The sequence below is a fragment of the Homo sapiens genome, chromosome 1 (genome assembly GCF_000001405.40).
Source record: "Homo sapiens chromosome 1, GRCh38.p14 Primary Assembly".
Lineage (NCBI taxonomy): Eukaryota > Metazoa > Chordata > Mammalia > Primates > Hominidae > Homo > Homo sapiens.
In genome coordinates, this window is record NC_000001.11 from 8,520,448 (window position 1) to 8,545,896 (window position 25,449).

General features: G+C 39.3%; 1 protein-coding gene across 2 annotated transcripts in view, besides 2 other annotated features; it reads right to left on the reverse strand.

Annotated features, from left to right (window-relative positions):
* Positions 1 to 25,449, reverse strand: part of RERE (arginine-glutamic acid dipeptide repeats) — a 465,237-nt gene that overhangs the window by 168,044 nt on the left and 271,744 nt on the right. For both annotated transcript variants that reach the window (NM_001042681.2, NM_012102.4), the window contains one exon: positions 20,767 to 20,871. In NM_001042681.2, the coding sequence (NP_001036146.1) occupies positions 20,767 to 20,871 (105 nt within the window). The remainder of the gene's footprint in view (positions 1 to 20,766; positions 20,872 to 25,449) is intronic.
* Positions 4,803 to 5,097: a silencer, noted in NCBI's record as "tiled region #8357; K562 Repressive DNase unmatched - State 1:Tss". NCBI's record gives its function as "represses a minimal TATA promoter and a strong SV40 promoter by Sharpr-MPRA in K562 cells {active_cell/tissue: K562}" and the evidence as "EXISTENCE:reporter gene assay evidence [ECO:0000049][PMID:27701403]".
* Positions 4,914 to 4,963: an enhancer, noted in NCBI's record as "active region_104". NCBI's record gives its function as "activates an Ori minimal core promoter by ATAC-STARR-seq in GM12878 lymphoblastoid cells {active_cell/tissue: GM12878}" and the evidence as "EXISTENCE:reporter gene assay evidence [ECO:0000049][PMID:35858748]".

The following is a 25,449-nucleotide window of genomic DNA, read 5'->3' on the forward strand; positions in this document are numbered from 1 at the left end:
TATGGCCTCCACACACAATAATGTATGAGTAATGTCAGGAAAAAAACTGGTCAAAAAAATTTAACAGGTGAGAAAGATCCAGTTTCAAAGTGCTATAGTGACTTTGCTCCGTTGTCTAAATTTCTTATCTGCCTTCTCTCTCTTCTCCATTATGTGGTAACCTACCGTGTATCTGGCAACGTCATAAAACAACATTCCACCACAGGCTCCTAGGGAACTTTACTGTAATGGCCTGTGGCAAAGTTTAGGGGCTGCGGCCTAACAAAGCTGCCTGCACACACATGGAGATTCAGCCAAAAAACTTTTTAAAAAAAAAAAAAAAAAAAAAACCACTATGACCGAAACCCACTTACAAAGCAGCAGTCACTGTAGATTAAGCTGCTCTCCTGACCCAAGATGGTGCTAGCTTTCTGCATATTGAAATCAAACTGTATAACAAAGCTGAATGAAGCACCCCCAGAAAAAAAAAGGGACTTTGGACCAAGCAAGCATGTCTACAACACGTCTAAAGGTTTCTTTGTCCCCTCAGGGAAATGTTATAAAAAAACATGACAATTGCCTTATTCCTCCTCGCTGCAGTGGTATGAATATAGAAGGAAGAGAACACAAACAGGCAATAACTAACACACACACATGCACCTAGTGTGTGTAAGTGAGAAAGTGGCAGGAAATGTTTAATGCTGAACACACCCAATATTATAAATTATGGAAGTAGAGCTTCTTTTTTTCAAAAAAAAAAAAAAAAAGAACTCCAAGATGTATAAAGAAAAACATAAACACTCAAAGAGAGTAAGAAGAAAGTGGATCAGTAAATAGTTATTAAACATACTGGTGGTTAATAATTAGTGTAATTCCTAAAACAATCCCTAGCATTGTCTTAGTTGAACAGGCTATTAAAAATAAAAAGATGTTGGCCAGGCACAGTGGCTCATGCCTATAATCCTACTATTTTGGGAGGCCAAGACAGGAAGATAGTTTGAGGCCAGGAGTTCGAGACCAACCCAGGCAACAAAGTGAGACCTGCATGCCTATTTTTTTTAATTAAAAATTTAAAAATATATGTTGTTGTTGAGATAATCATATCTACATGAGCTTGAGACTGTACATTTGACCTGCGAATTAATAACAATAATGTACTAAGCAACTATGTGCCAAGCACTTCCAAGTTGTTTTCATCTAATCTTTACAAAAACTGTAAGAAATATTTATTTCCAGATTACCCATGAGAAAAATGAAGCTCAGAGGAGGGAAGGAACCTGTCGAATGTCACCGCTTGCCCAATTGTCACTTATTAGGTGGAATCTGAACCACACTACCTGGCTCCAAATCTAGCCTTTCCTCTTACCACAGATGATGCATTCATTTATTCAACATATTCATACCAAAGACCCATTTGCCAGGTACTCTACTAGAAATGGAGACCGTAAGAATAGACTTGGCCCCTGCCCCAAAAGCTTGATGTCCAATAGGGAAAAAAATCAAATAATCACAAATAAATGTGTAGCTCAAAGAAGTTTGATAGAAATAATCTCTAATTTTCCCAGTTGAATTAAGTGTTTTACCTTAGACTCAAAGTATCATAGAGTATACAATATGAGATCAGTTATCTTTCAGAATTGTTTTAAAAGTACATTCAAGCATGAGTCTCATTAGACCAAAAAGAAAAATAAATCAGACTCATGCTTTATCACCCACAGTTGCAGGAATACAGGCATGCCCCTATCAGAAACTGCTCAGAAGAGATGATAACTAATTATCTGTGCTTATTTAGGAGAAGATTTGTGAATGTACACACCATCTAAAATATTCCTTTAGCTATTATTTTCTACCTTCTCTCTCATCCTGTCAGACATTTATGTTACAGTCTTAGAATACACGGTTTTCTGGTGGAAGACAACTCGGTTGAGTAACAAACAAAAAGTACCTGGCAAATGCGTCTTTGGTATGAATATGTTGAATAAATGAATACACAAAGTAAAATGGAAAAGAAAACAAATTCAGAAGGAAAAGAATCAGGAAAAAAGAACAACTAGAGAATCACAGACATCTGGTCTTAGATATATTAGAGTCTTCTAATTCATAAATTAACACAGTAGCCACGAGTCAAGGAAGAAGTGAAAAGAAGATTAAGAATGAAGTGTCAGCCGGGCAGGGCGGCTCACACCTATAATCCCAGCACTTTGGGAGGCTGAGGCAGGCAGATCACCCAAGGTCAGGAGTTTGAGACCAGCCTGGCCAATATGGTGAAACCCCGTCTCTACTAAAAAATACAAAAATTAGCCAGGCATGGTGGCAGATGCTTGCAATCCTAGCTACTCAGGAGGCTGAGGCAGGCAAATCGCTTGAACCCAGGAGGCGGAGGTTGCAGTGAGCTGAGATCACACCATCATACTCCAGCCTGGGCAACAAGAGCGAGACTCCGTCTCAAAAAAAAAAAAAGAATGAAGTGTCAGGCCAGGCACGCTGGCCTGTAATCCTGGCACTTTGGGAGGCCAAGGCAGCATGGATTGCTTGAGGCCAGAAGTTTAAGACCAACCTGGGCAACAAGGTGAAATCCCTTCTCTACAGAAAATACAAAAAATTAGCCAGGTGTGGTGGCGCCCACCTGTAGTCCCAGCTATGTGGGAGGCTGAGGCAGGAGAATCACCTTAGCCTAGGGAGGTCCCCAGGGAGGTCAAGGCTGCAGTGAGCTGAGATCACACCACTGCACTCCATCCAGCCTGGGTGACAGCGTGAGAACCTATCTCAAAAAGAAAAAGAAAAAAAAGTGACATGTCAATTAAACACAATCAAGTTCATTCTAGCTTTCAACCAAAGACAGACTGCAAAACTTATGTTGACAGAGGAACGCTTTAAATGTGAGGCTCCCTCAGATTCGAATTCGAGATTCTATTACAATGATAAGAACAACTAATAAGATATTAACTTTGTGAACTTCTCTATTTTTTGAAACATCTACTTGCTACATTCCCAACATTTCCTGATATTCTCAAGTGCAACAGAAGCAGAACCATAAGCCAAAATGAAACAAACTAGCATCTTTTCCATGTTCAAGCTACACAGACCAAAGACTTCATCAACCACCAGAGTAACTTCCCATGTGCTGTTCCCTCACCTCCTCCACCAGACAAGCACAGAAGCCCTGAAGCAAGCCTTTAGCATTCCAAAAAATATTTTTCCCAGACAGGATAATATAGAAGAAATACATACCACACTCATTAGAGTTACTTTATTGGATTTGAAACATAGACAAATTCGACTCTTAACAACAGAATATCCACAGATCACAGTCAGCAACCACAAGTCTTCACCATCAAATAGATGGCGGCATCCAAGCTCCATAAATACAGATTTGTACTAGGCCCACACAGGCCAGCCACACCAGTGGCAGGAACCTGATCCAGAGCTGATTCGGCTGTGAGCACAGCTTCCTGTTCACATTTTTATTTGTTAACTGTAAAGAAAGTTTCAGAAGAGGTAAAGATCTAGAACAGAAAGGCAATATTCTCCTGACTCAAACAATGAGTTTGTTCCTTGAGCATGAAATGTGAGTCCTGCCCAGATCCCACAAGTGCATGACAGAAAGTGGTGCAGTGTCCAGTTCCTCTCGTCTATTGAAGGGATACTTTTATTAAAAGAAGCAGGAAGGAAGAGCAATGGTGCTTTTAAACAGAGTAAAATAAGGCGAGTTCCAGAAGCAACATTATATGGTATGGGGTACCTCCCCAAAACTCCCCAGTGCAATGCCCAAATAAATATGGTCACAATGGGAAGAAAGCCCTCACATGGGTAAAAAAATTGATCACAAAAATAATAAACGCACACCCTAAATTATCCTTCTACAATTCATCTCCTTAGTTGCAATCCCAAAATTGAATCTGTAAGAATACAGATTATACTTCAGTAATATTTTCAGTGACTAGAATTCACCAACATTAGCCTTCCTAAAAACTTTCCACTAAAATCAAGGGCCTCCCTGGAAAGAGTTGACCATGCAACACTCCAAATTCACACTACACCACTAAGAGCTTACACAAGGAATTTCTCCTTGTATCAATGCATAGTAAATTTCTTCTCCTTCCTATGAGGGTTTTTCAGTTGCACATTCTTCTATATTGTATGCTTTCTTCCATCCTCACAAATGCACAAAATTTAGGTGGCATTCAAATTTTTTCTAACCTTTATCAGAAGAAAAAGGAGTGGAAACAAAAAGGAGCAAACAGTATAATTCAAAAACTTCATTTAATATCTACTTGGGTAAGAATTCAATTTGTCCTAAATCTTATTCTGACTGGCTCCCTAAATAAACCACAGTGAAAGCCATCTGTCTGAACCTGCTCTGCAACAGGACACCCCAAAAGCACAACTTCCCCTGGGTAGAAGAAACTAGTGTCTGGCTATCAAGCAGTGGGTACGAAATGAGGCCTTGTCAATGACTGCCTTCTCAGCACCAACTACTCTTTTTACTCCATTTAAGAGAATAGAATTCCAAGTCACATGACAACATACACATATGCAAAAAATGCTATCCGATTCTAAAACAGATACAAAAATAAACAAAATACCTAAACTTCAATTTCTAACACAAAAGTCAATGCATACTTTTTTTAATTGCCAAAGAATTTTCCATAAGCTCTAAAAGGAAGATGAGTCTGCTTCCTTTTGAAGGCAAGAGACTAAGTAAAAACTGATGTGACATAACCTTTCATTTTTAAAAAAATCAATTTTAAGGTGTTATTGTTGCAATCATAATTCACAACTGTTCCCTGAATATGTCAGACTTCAGAAAAAGATCACAAAAATTATAATTTGCTCTGGCAAACAGGCTCTCAATCAAAACAAGGTTCCACCCACCTTCAAAGCAACCAATAGAAGCCCACCTACCATCCTTCCTAAAACATCCAAACAGAGCTGCTCTGCGGCCCAGGCATTCCATACTAGCCACAAGGCAAGGGGGCGGCCTGCAGGCTTGCTCTGCAGGTCTTGAAGGCAAACAAGCTTGGCAACACACACCCAGCACGACTGAGGTTAAGATTATACTACGAGCCGAAGAGGTAAGGGGAAGAGGACAGGGACAGAGGGACCCGCAAAGCTTCACATTCTATATCTGCTGAATGCCTCTCCGGTAGTCCCCATTCTTAGTTCTGATTTTACGCTTCACAATACCACCTACATGGCCAGCTAGGGCTGAATTAAAGGCTCTCAGGAACATGCACTATGAATGATGAAATGATTCATAAACACCTTCAGAAGTGAGAAAGAGCAGCAAAACCCATCACTGTTTCGGTGAGGCCAGGGGAAGATAGCCTACCTGCAGGGGCTGAATGGATCATCCATGACTAACACGGGCTCTGGTGAGTCTAGCTGGATTCCTGAACCTTTACTTTCTGCTAAAACTCTGCCCTTTTCTACACTAACAACTCAAAATGGAGGCACATGCAGTCTCAGAGACCTCATAGAGCTTTCACTGAGCTTGTGCTATGACCTAAGCCTTCACGCAGAACGCAGAAACTTCCCCTCACTCTGACAGGACTGAGCATGTGCTGTGACCCTCCCTCATCCACACACTGTCTCTCCACGACGCAATCAATCTCAACCCTGCTGTTTCCGTAAATAAAGCCCAGCCAACAGACTCTGCAGCTTCTCCCTGCACACCAAGCTAGTGTGCAGGGAAGTGGGGCCTTAGAAAGGGGATCCAAGACAGCCAACAGCAGGGAACTGAGCAAGCCCAGCCATGGAGAGGCTTCAGTTAAATGCCCTGCTCTGTCAGGAACTCAGCAAGCCAAGCCACGGAGGAGCGTCAGTTAAATGCTCTCTGCTCTGTCAGCACAACAGCAAGTTTTGTCTTTTTTTTTTTTTTTTTAAGGTAAATGGTGATTTTAAAAAGCAAGATCACCAAGAAATAGAATCAAAAGACAGATATGAATGACTACACACAAGATCAACTAATAGAAATACTGCAACACATTTAAAAACATAGTAGTAGCTACTTAAGAGAAGCAACTTCACAAATTTCTTTTTGAAACTCTAAACATTTTGAAAAAGACCAAACAATCCGGGTAAAGTTATGGAGTGCTTGGCCTTGTCACACAGGTACAGACACAGTGTAGATGGTATTGTGAGCAGGGTAGCTAAAGAAAACTGTATTTTCTGCAAACAGCTTAATCTTCCTTAGATAAGAAACTAAAAATAATAAATAAAACATTCCCCAAATAATAAATTAAAACATTTCCTAAAGTAATACTAGCCCAATCAAGTCTAGCTTGAAGAATCTAATTCTAACAATTAGAAAGACAGGAAGGTTCAAGATTCAACATCGTGCCACAAACACATGAACATCCAAAAATCTCATTTGAGGTCCTGATTCAAAATACTAAGGCAGATCCATATAAGAAATCCTAGCTTTGGATGTGCAGGCTTAGTTTCCACTTACAAACTAAGAGGTGATTCTATAGATTATTAATCAGTTACAAAAAGAAAAAGAAATGGAAGACCATGAACCTCGCCAAAATTATAAAGGACAAGATAGGGCAGGAAAGGGCAGTGCCAATTCTGTTTCCCAGAAATGTAATGGAATGTCAGGAAATTAAAGCCTGTTGAAAAGAACACACAGTGTCCTCAAGATTCCTACAGTGAATGCAGAATCAATTCCATTTCCATAGCACTCCCGTTTATGCTATGAAATAAACTAAATTCTGAAACTATGATTCAATAAACTCTTATCCTGCCGATAATGTAATTTAGAAAATACAAGAAATGCCAAGTACACTTAAATACGTTTTCCTTTGACCTAACACATGAAACAAGTATCTACAGGCTGGAAGAACATTTTCCCTTATTGGTATGTGAGACAACATATTCCCAAAACTGCTGTTACTACCAACAGTCTAGAGAAAAATACTTTCTAAACACAAAAGCAATGGAATTAGAACCTAGCAGCCAAATAATATGAATATGAGCAGCAAAGAATTTCCTCCCAAAAGTGTATATATTAAAAAAAAACAAACTATCTAACCCTTTCATATGGAAAATGTTTACTTGAAGAAATCAACACAAAATAATATGTAATAAATTCATCAGTCTCTGAAAGCCCATGAAACTGTTACATAGAGCACACTATAAAAACGGTTACTGTAACAGCAAGTTAAGAAATGTGGATTCTAATTTTGGTCTCATTAGATGCCCTGAGTTACCAAAATCCAATGGCCTTCCCCTGTGATAATGGATTCCAATGGTGGCGCCAGCCTTTGTGGATATCCTCTTCATTGTCTTTCCTGGTGCTGGCATCTCACAGTTGGCTTCACATGCCATGCCACCAAGACAGACAGCCCTTTCTCTTGTTACCCCTCAGGGGCAGCGTACCCCAGCGGCCACACCCCAGATCTCCTCTCCTTCACACTCTCTCCCGTGGAAAAGTCACCCACACTACCACCATGCCAGCCAGCTCCACTCTGAAGACACTTCCTTCCTGGCAGCAGCTCAGAAATGCAGGAGCCCCCGGAATCCTCTCACTGTACCTCTCTGGGGAACTGCACCTCTCTTATTAGATTCTAAGTCCTTCAGGGACAAGGACACTACCTAAATCATCTTTATTGGAACCACCCAACTCTCCTATTTTGTACCTCAAAGAACTCTATCTGAAGCAGTGGAAAGGGCACAGTATCACTCATATAGTATGGCTGGCCAAAATTACATAACCTAGATCTAATCGTGGGGAAACGTCAGACAAACTCAAACTGAAGAACACTTGACAAAACTGGCTTCTAACTCTTCAAAAAGGTCGATGTCATAAAAAATCTTTAAAAAAGGTGAGGAAACATGTTGTGAAAACAAAGAGAGACAAGGGATATTAAAGAGACACAACAATTAAATGAGGCTTATGATCATGGGGAAAATTACTATGAAGGCCGTTGTTGAAAAAACTGGCAAAATCTGAATATGAACTATATTGGACTATATCATATTGTATTAATGTTACCTTTTCTGATTTTGATAATCATACCATAGTTATGTAAGATAATTTTCTTGTTCTTGGGAATACACACTAAAGTATTCAGGGGAAAGGGTGTGATGTCTATATTTCATTCCCAAATTGTTCAGGAAAGGAAAATACAGGTTGAGTTATCCTAATCCCAAAATCCCAAACCAAAAATGTTCCAAAATCTGCAACTTTCTGAGCACCAACATGATGCTCAAAGGAAATACTGGAACGTTTTAGATTTTTGGATTAAGGATATAGAATAAGCAAATATTCCAAAATTCCCCCTCCCCCACCAAAACATGAAATCCAAAACACTCTTCTAACCCCAAGCGTTTCAGGTAAGGGACAGATTCAACCTGTACCACAGAGAGAGTCAGACAGCAAAGATGGTAAACACAGACAGCAATACAGCAAAAAAAGAGATAGAGGTTATCTCATAAAGTGTATATTTCTAATAATTTTGTGCATGAAACAAGGTTTTGATTGGGTTTTGATTGTGATCTGTCACAGGAGGTCAGGAGTGGAATTTTCCACTTGTGGCATCACTTCGGTGCTCAAAGCATTCTGGATTTTGAAGCATTTTAGATTTCGAATTTTCAGATTAGAGATGCTCAACCTATAATAGAGCAAACCTATAATAAAGTTTAAAAGGTAATAAAATAAAATAAATATAAAGCAAATATGGCAAAATACTAACAACTGGTGAATTGAGTAAAAGATATATGGAGGTTCTTTCTTGTACTAGTCTCATAACTCCTCTTTGAATTATGAATATAAAATTCCAAACAGAAAAATTTTAAATATATTAAACAAACAGAAAATATATCCACCAGCCTCCACAACCATCAGTTCTCCCTTCTTTTTTTTTTTTTTTTTTTTGAGATGGAGTCTCGCTCTGTTGCACAGGCTGGAGTGCAGTGGTGCAATCTCAGCTCACTGCAAGCTCCGGGTCCTAGGTTCACGCCATTCTCCTGCCTCAGTCTCCCGAGTAGCTGGGACTACAGGTGCCCGCCACTACACCCAACTAAATTTTTTAATTTTTTTTTTTTTTTTAGCAGAGACAGGGTTTCACCGTGTTAGCCAGGATGGTCTCAATCTCCAGACCTCGTGATCCTCCCGCCTCGGCCTCCCAAACTGCTGGGATTACAGGCGTGAGCCACCACGCCCGGCCACAACCATCAGCTCTCATGGCATCTGGAGAGCTGACACAAGGGGCAATGAATGACCTGCCTCCCTGCCTGCAGTCATGGTGCTCTCACCCCCAAACAGAAGTCAATTAACACCCAGCTCCAAACTCACTCCAATCTCAAGAATATAGGATCAGTCCTCCTCCTCCTCCTCCTGGTCAGAGAATCTCAAGGAGTCTTGAAACCGAGCAGTTCCATAATTAGGTTAGCCACTAGGTCACATTCAACCACAAATTCCAATTTTAGAAATGGGGCTCTGATTCCATGGAGCAAGCCTTGCTTTACACTGAGTTCACCCTGGTACCCTACTCAGTGCTTAAGGGCATCCCAGAGAGGGGCCTTGTTTTCTCTCCTAGTTCTCTTGAACACGGGCTGCCTGTGTACTGATGCTGACTACCCACCTGGACCTCACTCCTGCCACCACATTTTCTAGCCCATCGTTTGCCAGCCTGCAGGGATGTACATACAATCTGCAACCTGGCACCCTCGTATTTCCATCTGTTGCCAACTGCCAAGGCCTTCCCAGAAGTCCTGTGATCCCCATGTACATCTATAATCTCTGGATCCCAGACATCCTTCTCTCCTCCTATTAATCCCAAGTGAACAACAGGTGTAGGATTAGCACTTCTGAATAGACTAAATGAGAGCTGAGTGGGAGAGAAGAATACACAATTCAAATCAATTTTTTCTAAAATTAAAAAAACCACTTTGTCCACTATAATACTTAAATTTGTAGTGAGTAGATTATGTACCTCTATCAAAGGTAAGTAAAAGCTGTAACATGAAAATTGCCTAAGTTTTATCTTAAAGAATTTCCTACTTCCCAGAAACAAAAAATGTCTACAACGTTGTATTCATTAACAAGAAACTTTAAAGCCAAAATGGGGAGGCGGGGCGGGGAGGGGAAGCAACACTCAGGAAATTCTAGAGAAAAAGTTTGGAAGAGATATTCTAATTAGTACTAACTTCACATCAAGAGAGGAGAAGTATTCAGAAGCAGTTTATTTAAATTTCATTTACTAATTGCCCCGCATATCTAGACATGGAACTGAGTTTTCGTTTTCTTTTTTTTTTTTTTTTTTTTTTTGAGACGGAGTCTCGCTCTGTCGCCCAGGCCGGACTGCGGACTGCAGTGGCGCAATCTCGGCTCACTGCAAGCTCCGCTTCCCGGGTTCACGCCATTCTCCTGCCTCAGCCTCCCGAGTAGCTGGGACTACAGGCGCCCGCCACCGCGCCCGGCTAATTTTTTGTATTTTTAGTAGAGACGGGGTTTCACCTTGTTAGCCAGGATGGTCCCGATCTCCTGACCTCATGATCCACCCGCCTCGGCCTCCCAAAGTGCTGGGATTACAGGCGTGAGCCACCGCGCCCGGCCTGAACTGAACTGAGTTTTCTATCTATCTATCTATCTATCTATCTATCTATCTATCTATCTATCTATCTATCTATCTATCTAACTTTCTATCTATCTGTCCATCTTTCTATCTATCTGTCCATCCATCCATCCATCCATCCATCCAGGAAGCTTGCTGATTTACCTATTAGCTTTAACAATTTGGATGGGCCCGGGGGCTCACAAATATAATGAGAGGCCGAAGTGGTGGGTGACTTGAGGTCAGGAGTTTGAGACCAGCCTGGCCAATGGGGTGAAACCCAGCTTCTACTAAAAATACAAAAATAAGTCAGGCGTGATGGCATGCACCTGTAGTCCCAGCTACTCAGTAGTCTGAAGTGGGAGGATCACTTGAGCCTGGGAGGCAGAAGCTGTAGTGAGGCCAGACTGCACCACTGCACTCCAGCCTGGGCAACAGAGCGAGACTCCACCTCAACAAAAAAAAAAAACACAACACAAAACAAAACCAACACCAACAATAAAACTAATTTTTTCACAAGTTTTCTCAGATTTCCTATGGTGAAAATTATACTTTATTAATAAATGTTCATTTTTTCATTTCCAACCCTCACATATTTTCTTCTTCAAGTCTTAATGGATATTGAAATCCTGCTATTGTTTCTGGTTTCAGAGGAAAAAGTTTCCACACTCTGCCTTTAACTATGGTGCTTGCTGTAAGTTTATGGTAAGTATTCTGTTAGATTAAGGAAATTCATTCTACAATTAATTTTCCTTTTCTAAGAGTCCCCTCCCCAATTATTACAGAGCGTTGAATTTTATCAAGTGCTTTTTCTACATTAAGATGATTGCATGGGTACAAAAAAAGAATGAATGAATAAGGTCTAGTATTTGACTGTGAAACAGGGTGACCATAGTCAATAATAATCCAATTGTACATTTTAAAATAACTAAAATAGTATAATTGGATTGTTTTTAACACAAAGGATAAATGCTTGAGGGGGTGGACAACCCATTTTACCATGATGTGTCTATAATGCATTGTATGCCTGTATCAAAACATCTCATGTACCACATACATACGCTATGTATCCACAAAAATTAAAAATTAAGAAAAAGATGATTGTCTATGTTTTCTTCTTCTATATGTCGAAGAGGCAACATATGCTAACAGATAAATTATTAAGGCATTCTTATATTCTATAAATTTGGACATGCATATTTACCTTGCTAGACTCCGTTTGTTAACATTTCATTTAAACATTTTACATTCATGTTCATAAGATTGAACCTATAAATTTTATTTTTTTAACCTGGTTTTATAATAAAGGTTTTATTAGCTTCATAAAATGACTCAGGGGACCCATAACAACTTTCTCTGTTCTCTGGAACACTGGTAGAATTCACCTGTAAAGCATGAGTCTGATTCATTTTTCTTTTTCTCTTTTATTTGGGGGGGGTCCGGGGAGGGGGGAGACAGAGTTTCACTTGTTACCCAGGCTGGAGTGCAATGGCACAATCTTGGATCACTGCAACCTCCACCTCCTGGGTTCAATAGATTCTCCTGCCTCAGCCTCCCAAGTAGCTGGGATTACAGGTGTGCACCACCATGCCTAGCTAATATTATTATTTTTAATTTTTTTTTGAGACAGAATTTTGCTCTTGTTGCCCAGGCTGGAGTACAATGGCACAATCTCGGCTCACTGCAACCTCTGCCTCCTGGGTTCAAGCAATTCTCCTGCCTCAGCCTCCCGAGTAGCTGGGGTTACAGGTGCACGCCACCCCACCTAGCTAAATTTTTGTATTATTAGTAGAGACGGGGTTTCCCATGTTGGCCAGACTGGTCTTGAACTCCTGACCTCGGGTGATCCACCTGCCTTGGCCTCCCAAAGTGGTGGGATTACAGGCATAAGCCACTGCCCCTGGCCCTTTTTTTTTGTATTTTTAGTAGAGACAGGGTTTCACCATATTGATCAAGCTGGTCTCAAACTCCTGACCTCAAGTGATCCACCGCCTCAGCCTCCCAATGTGCTGGGATTACAGGCATGAACCACCAAACCCAGCCTGATTTATTTTTCTTTTCGGTCTAATGAGATTAAAAAAATTATCCAATGCAAATTATAAAAACTGCCTTTAAAGGGAGAAGGTATGCAGTTTTTACCTATTTCCTCTTTCTTCCAGGCGGAAATCTGGATGTAATGGCCATCACTACATTGCCAACCTTGAAACAAGAGAACAGTGGCAGACAAGGTAGTAAAGGGTGGACCCCTGATGACTGTGAGGTCCTAGTCTAGGAGTGCTTCCTTTCAAACTCTGCTTACATGAGAGAGAAATGAAAGTGATATTTTATTTAAGCCTTTTACACAGTCTCTTTCTGAAGCTTCCAGTATTTGAAGTTCTCGGGTGTGTCTTGCTGTTTGTCTCATCTGACCACAGTTAATGGTACATGGTTTCTTCCGATATTTCTGACGGTGAGCTTGGCATTCAAGGATATTTTATCTGTGGGGATCCTACAGGATCTTGGATGAGGGTGTCTCCCATTAAAAAACATTTTACATATGCTTCTGCCAGGTATCTTGAAGGGTTTACTGGCATGAGACCACTTTTTATATTGCCTTCTTATCCTAGAGTTCTCATATTCTGAAGGGCCCAGAATCCCAACCCTAAACAGGTGGGTTTCCCTGTTACTCCCCTCTAGGTTGGAAAATGTTAACAAACTCAATCCAGCCTCACCATGAGCTACTGAAAGATCAGCTTACTGCTTTAGTTTTCAGTTTCTCTTAATTCTTTGGAGCTCAGCTCCGCAGTTAAAAGTTTTGTTATGTGTTATTCCATTACTCCAGGTAACATTCCTAGATGTTATCTGACAAAGGGTTTTTGAAATGATCAAAGGGTTTTTGAAATGATCAAATCAAATGATCAAATGAAAAACAGGCTTTTGTCCTGTTTTATTAAAGTTATCTTAACTTCAGTAGGCTTTGTTTTCCAAAAATACATGTACTCTCAACCATCTCCAATATTTTCCATCTCAGGTAAATGTTTCTGAGAATTCAAATGTGATGGCAGATAAAAGCAAACAGGAAAAAATTTGTATCCAGCTCTAGCTGCTCATCTTCAAAAGCTACACAAAGACCACGAGCTGTGGTGAGTGGAAAAGGGAACTGTTACTCAAATGCAAGTAAATTTTAGAATGTCTCAAATTCAAATTAGTTGAAATACAGGTGTTTTAGATTGTTAACTTTTCCACTTAAGTATAAAGATTTATGTTGAGGAAAAAAATGGTCCCAAGGTCACAGAGCAAAGTGACAGAAAATTAAGAAATAAAGACATTAAAAATAATGAAATAAGGTTTCTTAATGTTAAAGAAGAATGTTACACATAAGGAAAAGGGAATAAACTAGCAGAAATTCTGTAGTACTGGATTGAACTTGGAGAATTTCACATGAACTTATGAATATACACACATAAATACAAAACTATAGGTGCAAGTGTGTGCATTATATATGCGATAGATACAAACACACGCACTCCCTAGCTCTGTTTCTCAGAAGGTCAGAGAGCAGCAACACAAAGTAATGAGCACACTTAGCACCAAATCTAGGCTTTAAAATATCATTCTCCAAACACTGGGACAATCTGACCTCAAAATGAATAACAACAGCAGCAGGTTATAAACAATTAAATAAAATAGGAGGCCATTATTCCGCTAAATAAATGAATAAATCGAAAGTTTGATGAAGATGAGATCTACACAGTCACAAAGCAACCTCCCACAAAATGGTTATTAATTAAAAAGGGAAAAAGAGACACCGTACAATGGCAAAACCTGGCAGACATCACGTCCAGCAACTGGTCAAAGTGAACATTACCAGCAACTGGACAAATAAGAATTGTATACTGACAGGATACAGAAGAAAAGAACACAAAATTTCTGTGATACACGATCTAACTCTAATAATAAGGAAACACCATAAATGCAAACTGAGGGACAGCTGGGCACAGTGGCATACACCAGTAGTCCCAGCTACTAGGGAGGCTGAGGCAGGAGGATCACTTGAGCCCGGGAGGATCACTGAGGGGGGAGGGAGGATCACTTAATCTAGGCTGCAGTGCACTTAAACCGTACCTACGAATAGCCACCTCACTCTAGCCTGGGCAACATAATAATACTCCATTGCTATTTAAAAAAATAATAACAATAACGCAAACTGAGGGACAGGATACAAAATAATTGGCCTATTCTCTTCCAAGGTCATGAAGCCAAGAAGCAACTGAAAAACTGTTCCAGATTTAGGGAGACTAAACAAATATGACAACTAAATCCATAATGCCAAACAAGATCCTTCTGTTGTAGGTTTTTATTAGGAACACCGGCAAAATTTGAATAGGGCCTGAGAATACCATGGTAATAATATTTTCATTGTTAATTTCCTGATTTTGAGGGCTGTATTGTGGTTATGTAAGAAAATGCTCATGTTCATAGGAACTACACAAAATACTGGAGTATGAAAGAGCTTCAGGGTGACAACATACTTTCAAATGATTCAGTTAATAAAGGTCTTCTACTCTACTTACAAGGAACTATTCTGTTTTAAAACAAAATAAAATGCACACAGTATTCTAACTACCACACTAACTCTTAACTCTTGCTATTATTAACATTATTGCAGTTGTCAGTCTAGGAGAGAGAAAGTATAGTCCCTGTAAATGCCTCAAGTTTATGACTGCTCCTGAACATAATGATAGTAACATATAAGCCTCAACACTGCTGCAAAACTACACTTCTAGGAAGAGGAAGAGGAGAAGGGAGAAAAGGATGAGAAGAGGTGGGAGAAAAGCGGACAGCCTGCAGGAGATTTAGCCGGGCATGGTGGCCCCTGCCTGTAATCCCAGCACTTTGGGAGGCTGAGGAGGGCAGATCACGAGGTCAAGAGATGGAGACCATCCTGGCCAACATGGTGAAACCCCCTCTCTACTAAAAATACAAAAATTAGCTGGGAGTGGTGGCGGGTGCCTGTAGTCCCAGCTACTTGGGAGGCTGAGGCAGGAGAATTGCTTGAACCCGGGAGGTGGAGGTTGCAGTGAGCCGAGATCACACCACTGCACTCCAGCCTGGCGATAGAGCGAGACTCCATCTCAAAAAAAAAAAAAAAAATCAGATATTTTTCAATCTTGTCTCTAAAAGAAAATTTGTAATTACTTCTGCAATTCCCAAGAAGAAACAAAAAATCTGACAGTTTACAGAAGTTTTCTGCAGGGTAGCTTTCATCATCCCCATCTTACTGATGGAGAAACAGAGTCCAGAAAGTGCATGCTTTACCCATGGACACGAGGATTAAGTAGCAGCACGGGACTAGAACCCAGGCCACCCAGATCCAAGAGGTGAGATCTTACCAGATGGCTGGAAGGATCAAGCCGTCAGATTAAATGGCTAGAAGGTGTTAGACAAATGAAAAAAGCAACTAAGGACAGTAAAGAGAGGCATATAACCACGTCCCTATGGTCATCTCTTTTTGTAAGCTAAGACCAATCTATTTTATATTTTAGTTTAACCACCGACGCTGGTGTTTTAGCCAAATGCACCTAAGGCCTCCTAACTGGCTTTATTTATGAAGACCTCTGAGCTGAAATTTATTGACTTTATTAAGTTTCTTGGCAGACTCTGGATCAGACCCTTCAAACAAACAGAGAACACAATGACATTACTTGCAGAGTATGCTCACCACAGAAGTAAATCTGGATGAATCTTGTTCACATGTACAAAACTGAACACTCCCTGAGTGCAGAAATGTCAAAAACAAACTCCAAAAGCAAAGCCCAATTACCTCAGGGTTCAAAGTCAGGTCAACATTAGATTTAAGGCTCTCTCATTTTTCACAATCTCTTAGTAGTTTGTATTCTACTTGGGCAAAAAATTATGCCCCCTAAATTTTTGCCCAATTAAGTTTTGTTCCCGCTGAGTGGAGCGGCTCATACCTGTACTCCCAGCACTTTGGGAAGCTGAGGAGGGAGGATCGCTGAAGCCCAGGATTTAGAGACCAGCCTGGGGAACATAGTGAGACCTCAACTAGACAAAAAATTTAAAAAATGAGCCAGGGATGATGGCGCACACCTGCAGTCCCAGCTACTTGGGAGGATGAGGCAGGAGGATCACCTGAGCCAGGTAAGTTGAGGCTGTGGTGAGCCCTGATCACGCCACTACACTCCAGCTGAGGCAATAGAGTGTGACCCTGTCTCAAAACAAACAAAAAAATAAGTTTTGTTACTTAAATTTCATGGCTAGCACTAATACAGAGTCATAATCCCTTATCTAAAATCCTTAGGATGAGAGGTTTACCAGAATTCAGAATTTTTATTTTAGCACTACAGCAAATATATCACAGCATGTAACACCCCAGCAGTGTTCATGTAATAATCCATATTCCATCATATTAGTATTTTTAGAGTAAAACTTACACAAACTCACACAAAGTGAACTGAATTAAGAATATAAATAGCCTCCTATCAGTTCAGGTTAGGTTCAGCCATCAAATACATTTTGGCACCAACCTTGGCATAAAATTTGTTAGATCTTCAGAACTTTCATATTTCAGAATTTAAGATAAGAGAGTATGGATCTATATTACTATAGATGCTTTATCAGTATTAATAAGTATTCTAGATTAAAAAGAATGAAATATAAGTTTATACCTAATAATAACAAAGTAATTCCATGCCAATTACCAAGAAATCCATTCTTCCCAAATGTTAAAGGCAACAAATTCTAGAGTACAGAACAGTCAGTCAGTTTCCCACTATCACACATTATTAGTTCAATAAGTGGTAATCCATCAGGAACAAAAAAAATCAGATCCCTGACAAGATACAACATTCAGAAATATAATGACCAGGTTAGAGAAAAAAATAAAATGAAGCTGTACACTGAAATTTAAAAAGGATCTATGCAAATAAATGTGAAAAAAATTCCAAAATTTCAGTGCTGTTCAATATGCTAACAAAGTATGGAAAATTACATAAATCAACGTATAACTACTTTTGGAAAATCAGCTCTGAGAAATAAACAGTTCCATCTTAAGGTTCACTTTCAACTGCTCACTTAAAGTTCCTGCATTATTTAAGGAGACAACAGTCATGAAAGTCTGCAGTCATGGAATCACTATTCCTTAAATTTCCAGTGGACTTTCCTATATGCAGTATTGCCCAGGACCATTACACAATCAGAAGAACTTTGACATTTCCTTTCTACATTAACTTACATACTTACCTAAATAACTCAGGGCACTAAGAGTCAGCATACAGTACACTATGTAGCCACGACTACTTACTAGTCCTACTCATTAAAACTGGGGGAAAACTATATAGGAAACCAGCTTATCATACAGCCTCCTCCCTCACAAACGTGAAACAAAGACAGAAACAGAGGTAAATTCTGCAAGGGTATGCACCCTGGGAATTCTAAGAACTGGGCTGTGCACAGCCAGTTTTTCTACACTCTGTTAAATTAGATGCATTTTTGGATCATTTGAGCAGCTGTGGGAACTATAGCCCTAACCCCAAACTTCAGAGATATAAGGAAATGTTCGGGATAACACCAGCAAGCCAAGGCAGTAGGCTGCATTAGCTCCACTGCTGCAAATGTCTACAACGGCCTTTACACTTCAACTGTGAGAAGTTTGAGATTTGCCTCAAAGTTTACTTATAAATGGGCACTTAAGTATTTGTTCAGTTCAAGTCATCCAACACTACTCAAGCACTTAAAACACACAAAGCAGAAGGTGGACATAGGGAACACAAGTGTAGAAGAAAATCAGTGGTGACTAGAAAGGTCACTAAGGGAAGTGATTCAGGATGCAGATCCTGTAAGTGTGCTGCTATCATCATGTCTCTGTGTTCCTTATTGCATCCATATTTTAAAACAAACCCGATGGGATGTATTGCCCTGAAAGACTGTCAGCAGCACACAATGAAAAATAAGAAAAGAACTTGAGTGAGTGCCTGGTTTACAAAGGTAAGTTACATATTACTTTTAATAAGCATTCAGCAAAACATGTATAACTAACATTTGTAAAAAATAATTTTGGTTAGTTGTTACAAACCTGAGAGTTGAAGAGTTAAAAGACAAAAGCTACTTTAGTTAATTAATATAACTTGTGCAACAGGAAAACTATCAAGTGATTAAATAAGCACAATATCACTAAAATAACATCCAATTCCTTTGTATCTAGAGAGAAATCCAAGTTCAAGCATTTTACAATTTACCTGGGCAACAGGAAGACATGAGAAGGTAGCCAATAAATGCATATGTAAAATAAACATTTCAAAATATCAGATGCTTAAGAAATATTACCACTGACCAGCTTCTTTATCATTGGAACACGGCATACTTTTGAAAAAACAAACAAACAAACTCAACCATCATAGTTTTCTTTCTTTTCCTTTTTTTTTTCTTTTTTTCTCGAGATGGAGTCTTGCTCTGTTGCCCAGGCTGAAGTGCAGTGGGGCAATCTCGGCTTACTGCAACCTCCGCCTCCCGGGTTAAAGCAATTCTCCTGCCTCAGCCTCCAGAGAAGCTGGGATTAAAGGTGTGTGCCACCATGCCCAGCTAATTTTTGTATTTTTAGTAGAAATAGGGTTTCACCACGTTGGCCAGGCTGGTCTTAAACTCCTGACCTCACGATCCGCCCGCCTTGGCCTCCAAAGTGCTGGGATTACAGGCGTGACCCACCTACACCTGGCCAAGCATCACAGTTTTCTAAAGGAGAAAAGGTACTCTTTGATGAGCATTATATTACTATCCATACATCAAGCACTATCTAGAATCTAGCTTCTGATGCTGTCTAGAAAATAGCATCCAATATTGAGAGGAAGAGAGGGAGACAGACAGACAGATACACTAATGCGAGCCCCAAGAGAGCTGTGGGCAGCTTCATAAAACCACAACAAAAAACACGTTCCCTTCTACCCCTACGTTGACTACTCAACAACATTCTAAGTTTTACATACGGTTTCTGAAAGTCCTCTAGAAAAATGTTCTCAATAAAATGATACCCATTTTGCCTTTACACTTAATGTAGTTCTTTTGCTAACTTCTTTGAGCCAAGTATTATTTATTATTTATTTATTTATTTATTTTTTATTCTTTTAAAAGACAGGGTGTCCCTCTGTCGCCCAGGCTGGAGAGTGCAGTGGTGCCAACGCAGCTCACTACAGCCTTGACTTCCCAGGCTCAAGCAATCCTCCTGCCTCAGCTTCCTGAGTACCTGGGACCACAGGTGCAGCCCACCACGTCCAGTTAATTTTTATTTTATATTTTGTTGAGAGAAGAGGTCTCACCATTTTGCCTAGCTAGGCTGGTCTCAAACTCCTGGGCTCAAGCGCTCAAGCAATCCTCCCACTGTGGCCTCCTAAGGTTCTAGGATTACAGGCATGAGCCACTGCACCTGGCCGGGGATGTTTTATTTCCTTCTAAATCTTCACATGTATAAACATGTCTTGGGTGTCCAGAGCATATATTACTTGATCAGTGGCTAACATCCTGTTTTTAAAATCCTTAATAAAATATGCAGTCACATGATCAATACAGGGCAAGTATGAATATATACACTCATAAAAATTCTTCCACGTGCTACATTAAAGTAGCATCTATGACAGACATAAAAATTGTTAAATTACTCTGACCCTATTGCTTCTCATTTTAAAAAAATAGTAATTCAAACTGTTACATAGATCTTACCAAGATGTTTTGAGAACTTGATGTGTCTGACTCATACTAGTAGTCTTACTAAAGATATTTCAGTGTGTGTTCCTGGAGTTTTATTACCAAGAGTGAACAAAACAAATGAGTAACCAACAAACTTTCCAAAATTACTTAGTCTTTTTCAATATGGTATTATGGAAGGCTTGACAGAATGTGAATCAGGGAAATAATCTACCAATTCTTAATACTTAATTCAAAATACAGATAAACTAAAAGTATATCTTTATCCCACCTTCTTTCAACCCAAATTTTCTCATTTTTCTTTTTCTGAATAAAAGTAAAGAGCAAACAAAAAGCCACTTTAGATGTCAAAGACATTAATTACAACTCCTCCCAAAGAAGTTTACTGAAGGACTCTGGAGTCATTTTTTTTAAGTATGTTACTAGTGTATGTCCAGAAGCATAAACTACACACACACACACATACACACACACACAAATGAGAAAAGGAAAAGAGTTCTCAATGAATGGACACAAGTGACTCACTTACCTTGTCTCAGGGTTATATCCTAATATGTAGAAAAATGAATCCACTCGGGCTTTAAACTCTCTAGCAGCAAATATGTCAGAAAAATGGGAGATGTTACACTTCCCTCTGGGAAAAAGAGAAAAAAATAATTAGTAATACCCTCAACTGCTTTTGCTAACCAAAACTGGAGGGGGAAGGGTGGAGGAAGCACTGAACTAAGTCCATGTGCATGGAGAATCGGCTACAAACACCACACTTTATTTCACCTATTCAGCTGTTTCATGACTGCTTCACTGTACACCTGTGTAATCTGACTGCTTTTATATCACCATTTTACTAATAAAGTAAAATTAATTAAAACAACAAAGATAAACTGGAGACAGGACTATGAGAAAGAATATTAAACAAAGTAGAAATGGAGAAAAATTAAAACCATTGTGAATATAAGAAAAACTCAGTTTAAAGCCTTTCTAAATCATAAAAAAAAATGAGCCTTTCTTCCTACTATATTATGATAGGCAGAAAGTTTAACTGTTTAAAGCTAAAATGTGGAATATTTGACATGTCTTTGGAATACAGCTTCTGGCCAATAAACATTTTTCTTCTCCTGCAATGTGCAACAAATAAAGTTACTTGGAAATTAAAACCTAGAGAAATTTTAACTTTTTTGCATAAACATGGGCCCCAATATACAAGGAGTTTTCAAATTTTGGGGTAACTTTAAATGGCTATAAGGTTAGAAATCACTTTCCCATAGAAATACTAAAATAAAGTGGAGTAAAGTTTTCAGGTTCATTTACCACCTAAAGTTAAACCAACCTGTAGTTGAAAACCCTACAATACTTACTCCAAAACGGCTTAAGCAATGTTTCCATGCACCAAGTATCAACGTAAATGCCAGAAGCATTATATCACGTGGTGAGGCCTAACTTCCAAATCCAAACACACACACGCACACATACACTCACTCCAGGATTCCCAAAGAGGCAGGGGAGGCTTAAGAACTCTAACTCCCTCCTGGTCACTTTAATGCCAAGTGGAAGCCAAAGGCTACAGTGAGGTTAGATGGAAATGGAGGACCAAAAGTTCCCATTTCATATCAAAAGCCGTGCAGCATACTTCCAGGACGTGGCCTCCCACTGCTTGAGCAGGCTATCTGTTGTGATAAGAACTCCATGAGTATGCACGGTAACAACATACACACCAGCTAATGGCCACAGTGTTAGGAAGAGAAGCTGGCTGAGGGGTTATCAGCGTGGGTTCATTCATTCACTTCCTACCAAGAAATTAAAAAGCAAGGTTCTTCTTTACCTTAAGGGCTTAAGTACCTGTAACCAAAGCAGGGTCAGCCAGGCACAGTGACTTCACACCTGTAATCCCAGCACTTTGGGAGGCTACGACAGGAGGATTATTTGAGGCCAGGAATTCAAGAAAAACTTGGGCAACATTAGTTGAGACCCCATCTCACCACACCTGGTTAATTTTAAAATTTTTTGTAGATGGGAGTCTCACTAGGTTGCCCAGGCTGGTCTCAAACTCCTGGCTTCAAGTGATCCTCCTGCCCTGGCCTCCCAAAGCACTGGGATTATAGGTGTGAACCACTGCACCCAGCCCCCATCTCCATTTTTTAAATTAAATAACAATGCTGTTGATATAAAGTCCCTTTGGCAACTATAGATTAGAAAGTATCTATAGTTCTATAGAATAGAAGCTACAGAATAGAAAGTATTCCAGGGTTACTGAGCACTTCAAACAACACTGATAAAACTGAGAACTGAATTTAAAATTTTATTTGATCTTAACAAATAAATTATTTGATCTTATGTAAATCTAAATAGCTACGTATGGCTACTAGCTACCATAGTGAACAACACAGATTTATAAGACATTTCCATCACAGCAGAAAGTTCTATTAGAAGTGCTATAGTATTCATACCTACTATTTGTAGATAGTAAGATCCAATTCAAGGAAAAATACAGACTAAGCATCAACTTCCCAGGCCCAGAACTGCCTCTTCTAGTATTTAACTAGAACTAAAATAAGCTTCTGGGAAAGAAAATGCAGGTATGATCTTTTTTACAAATGAACAACTAGCTCACTTTGAAACCACTCATCCATACAAGGTGATTTAATCCCCGAAAGCCAGAAGAAATAGGTTCCTTTAGCAGTAAAATAGAGATAACACCTACTGCACTTATAAAGACAAAGCCTACAAAACTCTACTACACAATGCTATGTAAAGTAAGTTATTCCTATTATTGTACATTACTAAAGGAAATTGATTCTTCTTTTATTATTGTTCGTTATTTCACTCTTAAACTGGAGTAATTAATGTATCAATTAAAGGTAAAGAAAACCCTTAACTCTAAACACAACCACTAGAAATCAGGTATGTTTAGGGCAGGGTTTATCAATCTTGGCACTAATGACAGTTTGTACTAAATAATTATTTATTGTCAGAGGCTGTCCTGTACATTGTAGGATATTTAAGAGCATCCTTGGCCTCTACCTAGAAGCACCCATACACATTTCTTCCTCACAACAAAAAATGTCTCAAGACTTGCCAAATGTCTCCTGTGAGGGAAGAAACTACTGGCTTACAGAAAGCCAAAAGCAACAGGAATAGAAGCATTTCATCTGATAAATGATTATGAAGTTGTCGTAAATGGGATTTTTCTCTACCATCAAGCCCTTTCTCTATTTGATTCTGTTTGTATATGTGAAAGGTACTGACATTTAAACATTTCACTTTTTTATCCTTTCTTATGCTTCTAATTGCACTGTACCTCTAATACAATGTGGAAAGAGTGAACATCCTTGGCTAGTTCCTGATGTCAGTGGAAATGTCTCTCATGTGTTCCTATTAAATATGACACTAGCTTTACAGACAATCAAACCATAATCATAGTATTGGAAATAATTGACTGGTTTCCTCCTTTAGAGTTAATAGTTTGATATATGCTATCAATAGAGTGAAAACCTGAACCAACCTTGCATTCCTGGAATAAATCCCAGCTGGTCATAATGTATTTTTTAAACAAGGTATTAAATTTTTAAAAAACAAAAAGAATTTGGTTAACTACATCTAAGTTTTCTTCCTCCCAAATTTGTTTTTATCTTTATTATTTCCTTCTTTGTACATTTTTATTGTTGCTATTATTCATGAAAGGTTTATTCATAATAGCCTAGGAACAACCCAAATGTGCAGCAACAGGGAAATAAACAAATCGTATATATGTACAATAAAATACTACACAAAGATCTAGTGATACATAAAATACCATGGACAAATCTCAAAAATTAAATGTTGAGTATAAGAAGCCAGACACAAAAACAGTATACACTGCATGATTCCACTTATATGAGCTTTAGAAGAGGAAAAAATAATTTATAGTGAGAGAAACCTGAACAGTTGGTGATTTTGGGTGGGAAGTTTTTAGAGGGAAGGATCTTGAGGGAACTTCCTGAGATGAGGGGAATATGCCAGGTCTTGTTTAGGGTCAAACACATTTCTGAAAATGTACACTTAAAATCTACATTGTACTGTATATTAAAAAACTACTAGAGGAAAGTAAAACAATGAGAATCATTACCATATAGCTGTAGCCATATGGTAATGATTCATAATCTTGCCAGTTAGCCAGCCCTCAAACACTGAGTATTGAGCAGAGCTGAAGAAAGGGTTTCCATAACCAGGTAAGGCCACCAGGATTGGCTCTGACTGGGTGGCACCCATTTGAAGTATTTTACAAATCAACTCGTGATGAACAGTGTTTACCTTTAAAAATGTGTGTATATGTGTGCAGAAGTATGGGTATGATTTTAAGTATTCAGTGTTTTTTATCAGAGCACTCTTCTCACCATGATCTCTGTCAAAAGTAGGACATTATTTGACATTGTTTACAGAATAGATGAGGAGGGACCGTTAAGAGAAAATTGCCATCACATCCACCTTGCTGAAATAACCAGTTCCAGAGCCTCCTAAAGTCTTGTATACTCTGTATCTAAAGCAATGCTTCACTGTTAACAGAAATATGACTAAAGACAGGGAAGCCCCATGTGTTAGCATCCTTTCATTCAACAGTAAAAAAGGCGTCCCGGAAATGACTCATTTCAGTAATCCTTCCGAGTGGGGCGGGCCCCAGAGAGTTTTACACCTGGGGCATCATCCGAAGGGTCTTCTGGCTACCAAGAGGAGGTGGCTATATGAAAAGGATGAAGAAGAGACAAGAGAGCCCCTCTTAAGTAAGGAGACAATACAAATGAAAACTGTGGCCTAGAAATTCACTCTCTTAAAATTACCAATAACTGGGAAGGTCTTCCCGTATCCCCAGGCATGCGCAAACTCCAAAGACTCAGGACAACGTGCACGAGCACACACAGAATGTTTACAGTAGCAAATCTGTTGAAAGCTATTATTATCATTATTAAGATGGAGTCTTAAGAATAAAAAATTATTAATAATAAAAAATAAATTATTAATAAAAAATTCTTTTTTTTTTTTTTTTGAGACAGAGTCTCACTCTGACACCCAGACTGGAGTGCAATGGCGTGATCTCGACTCACTGCAACCTCCGCCTCCCGGGTTCAAGCAATTCTCCTGCTTCAGCCTCCCGAGTAGCTGGGATTACAGACGCGTGCCACCACACCCGGCTAACTTTTTATATTTTTAGTAGAGACGAGGTTTCACTGTGTTGGCCAGG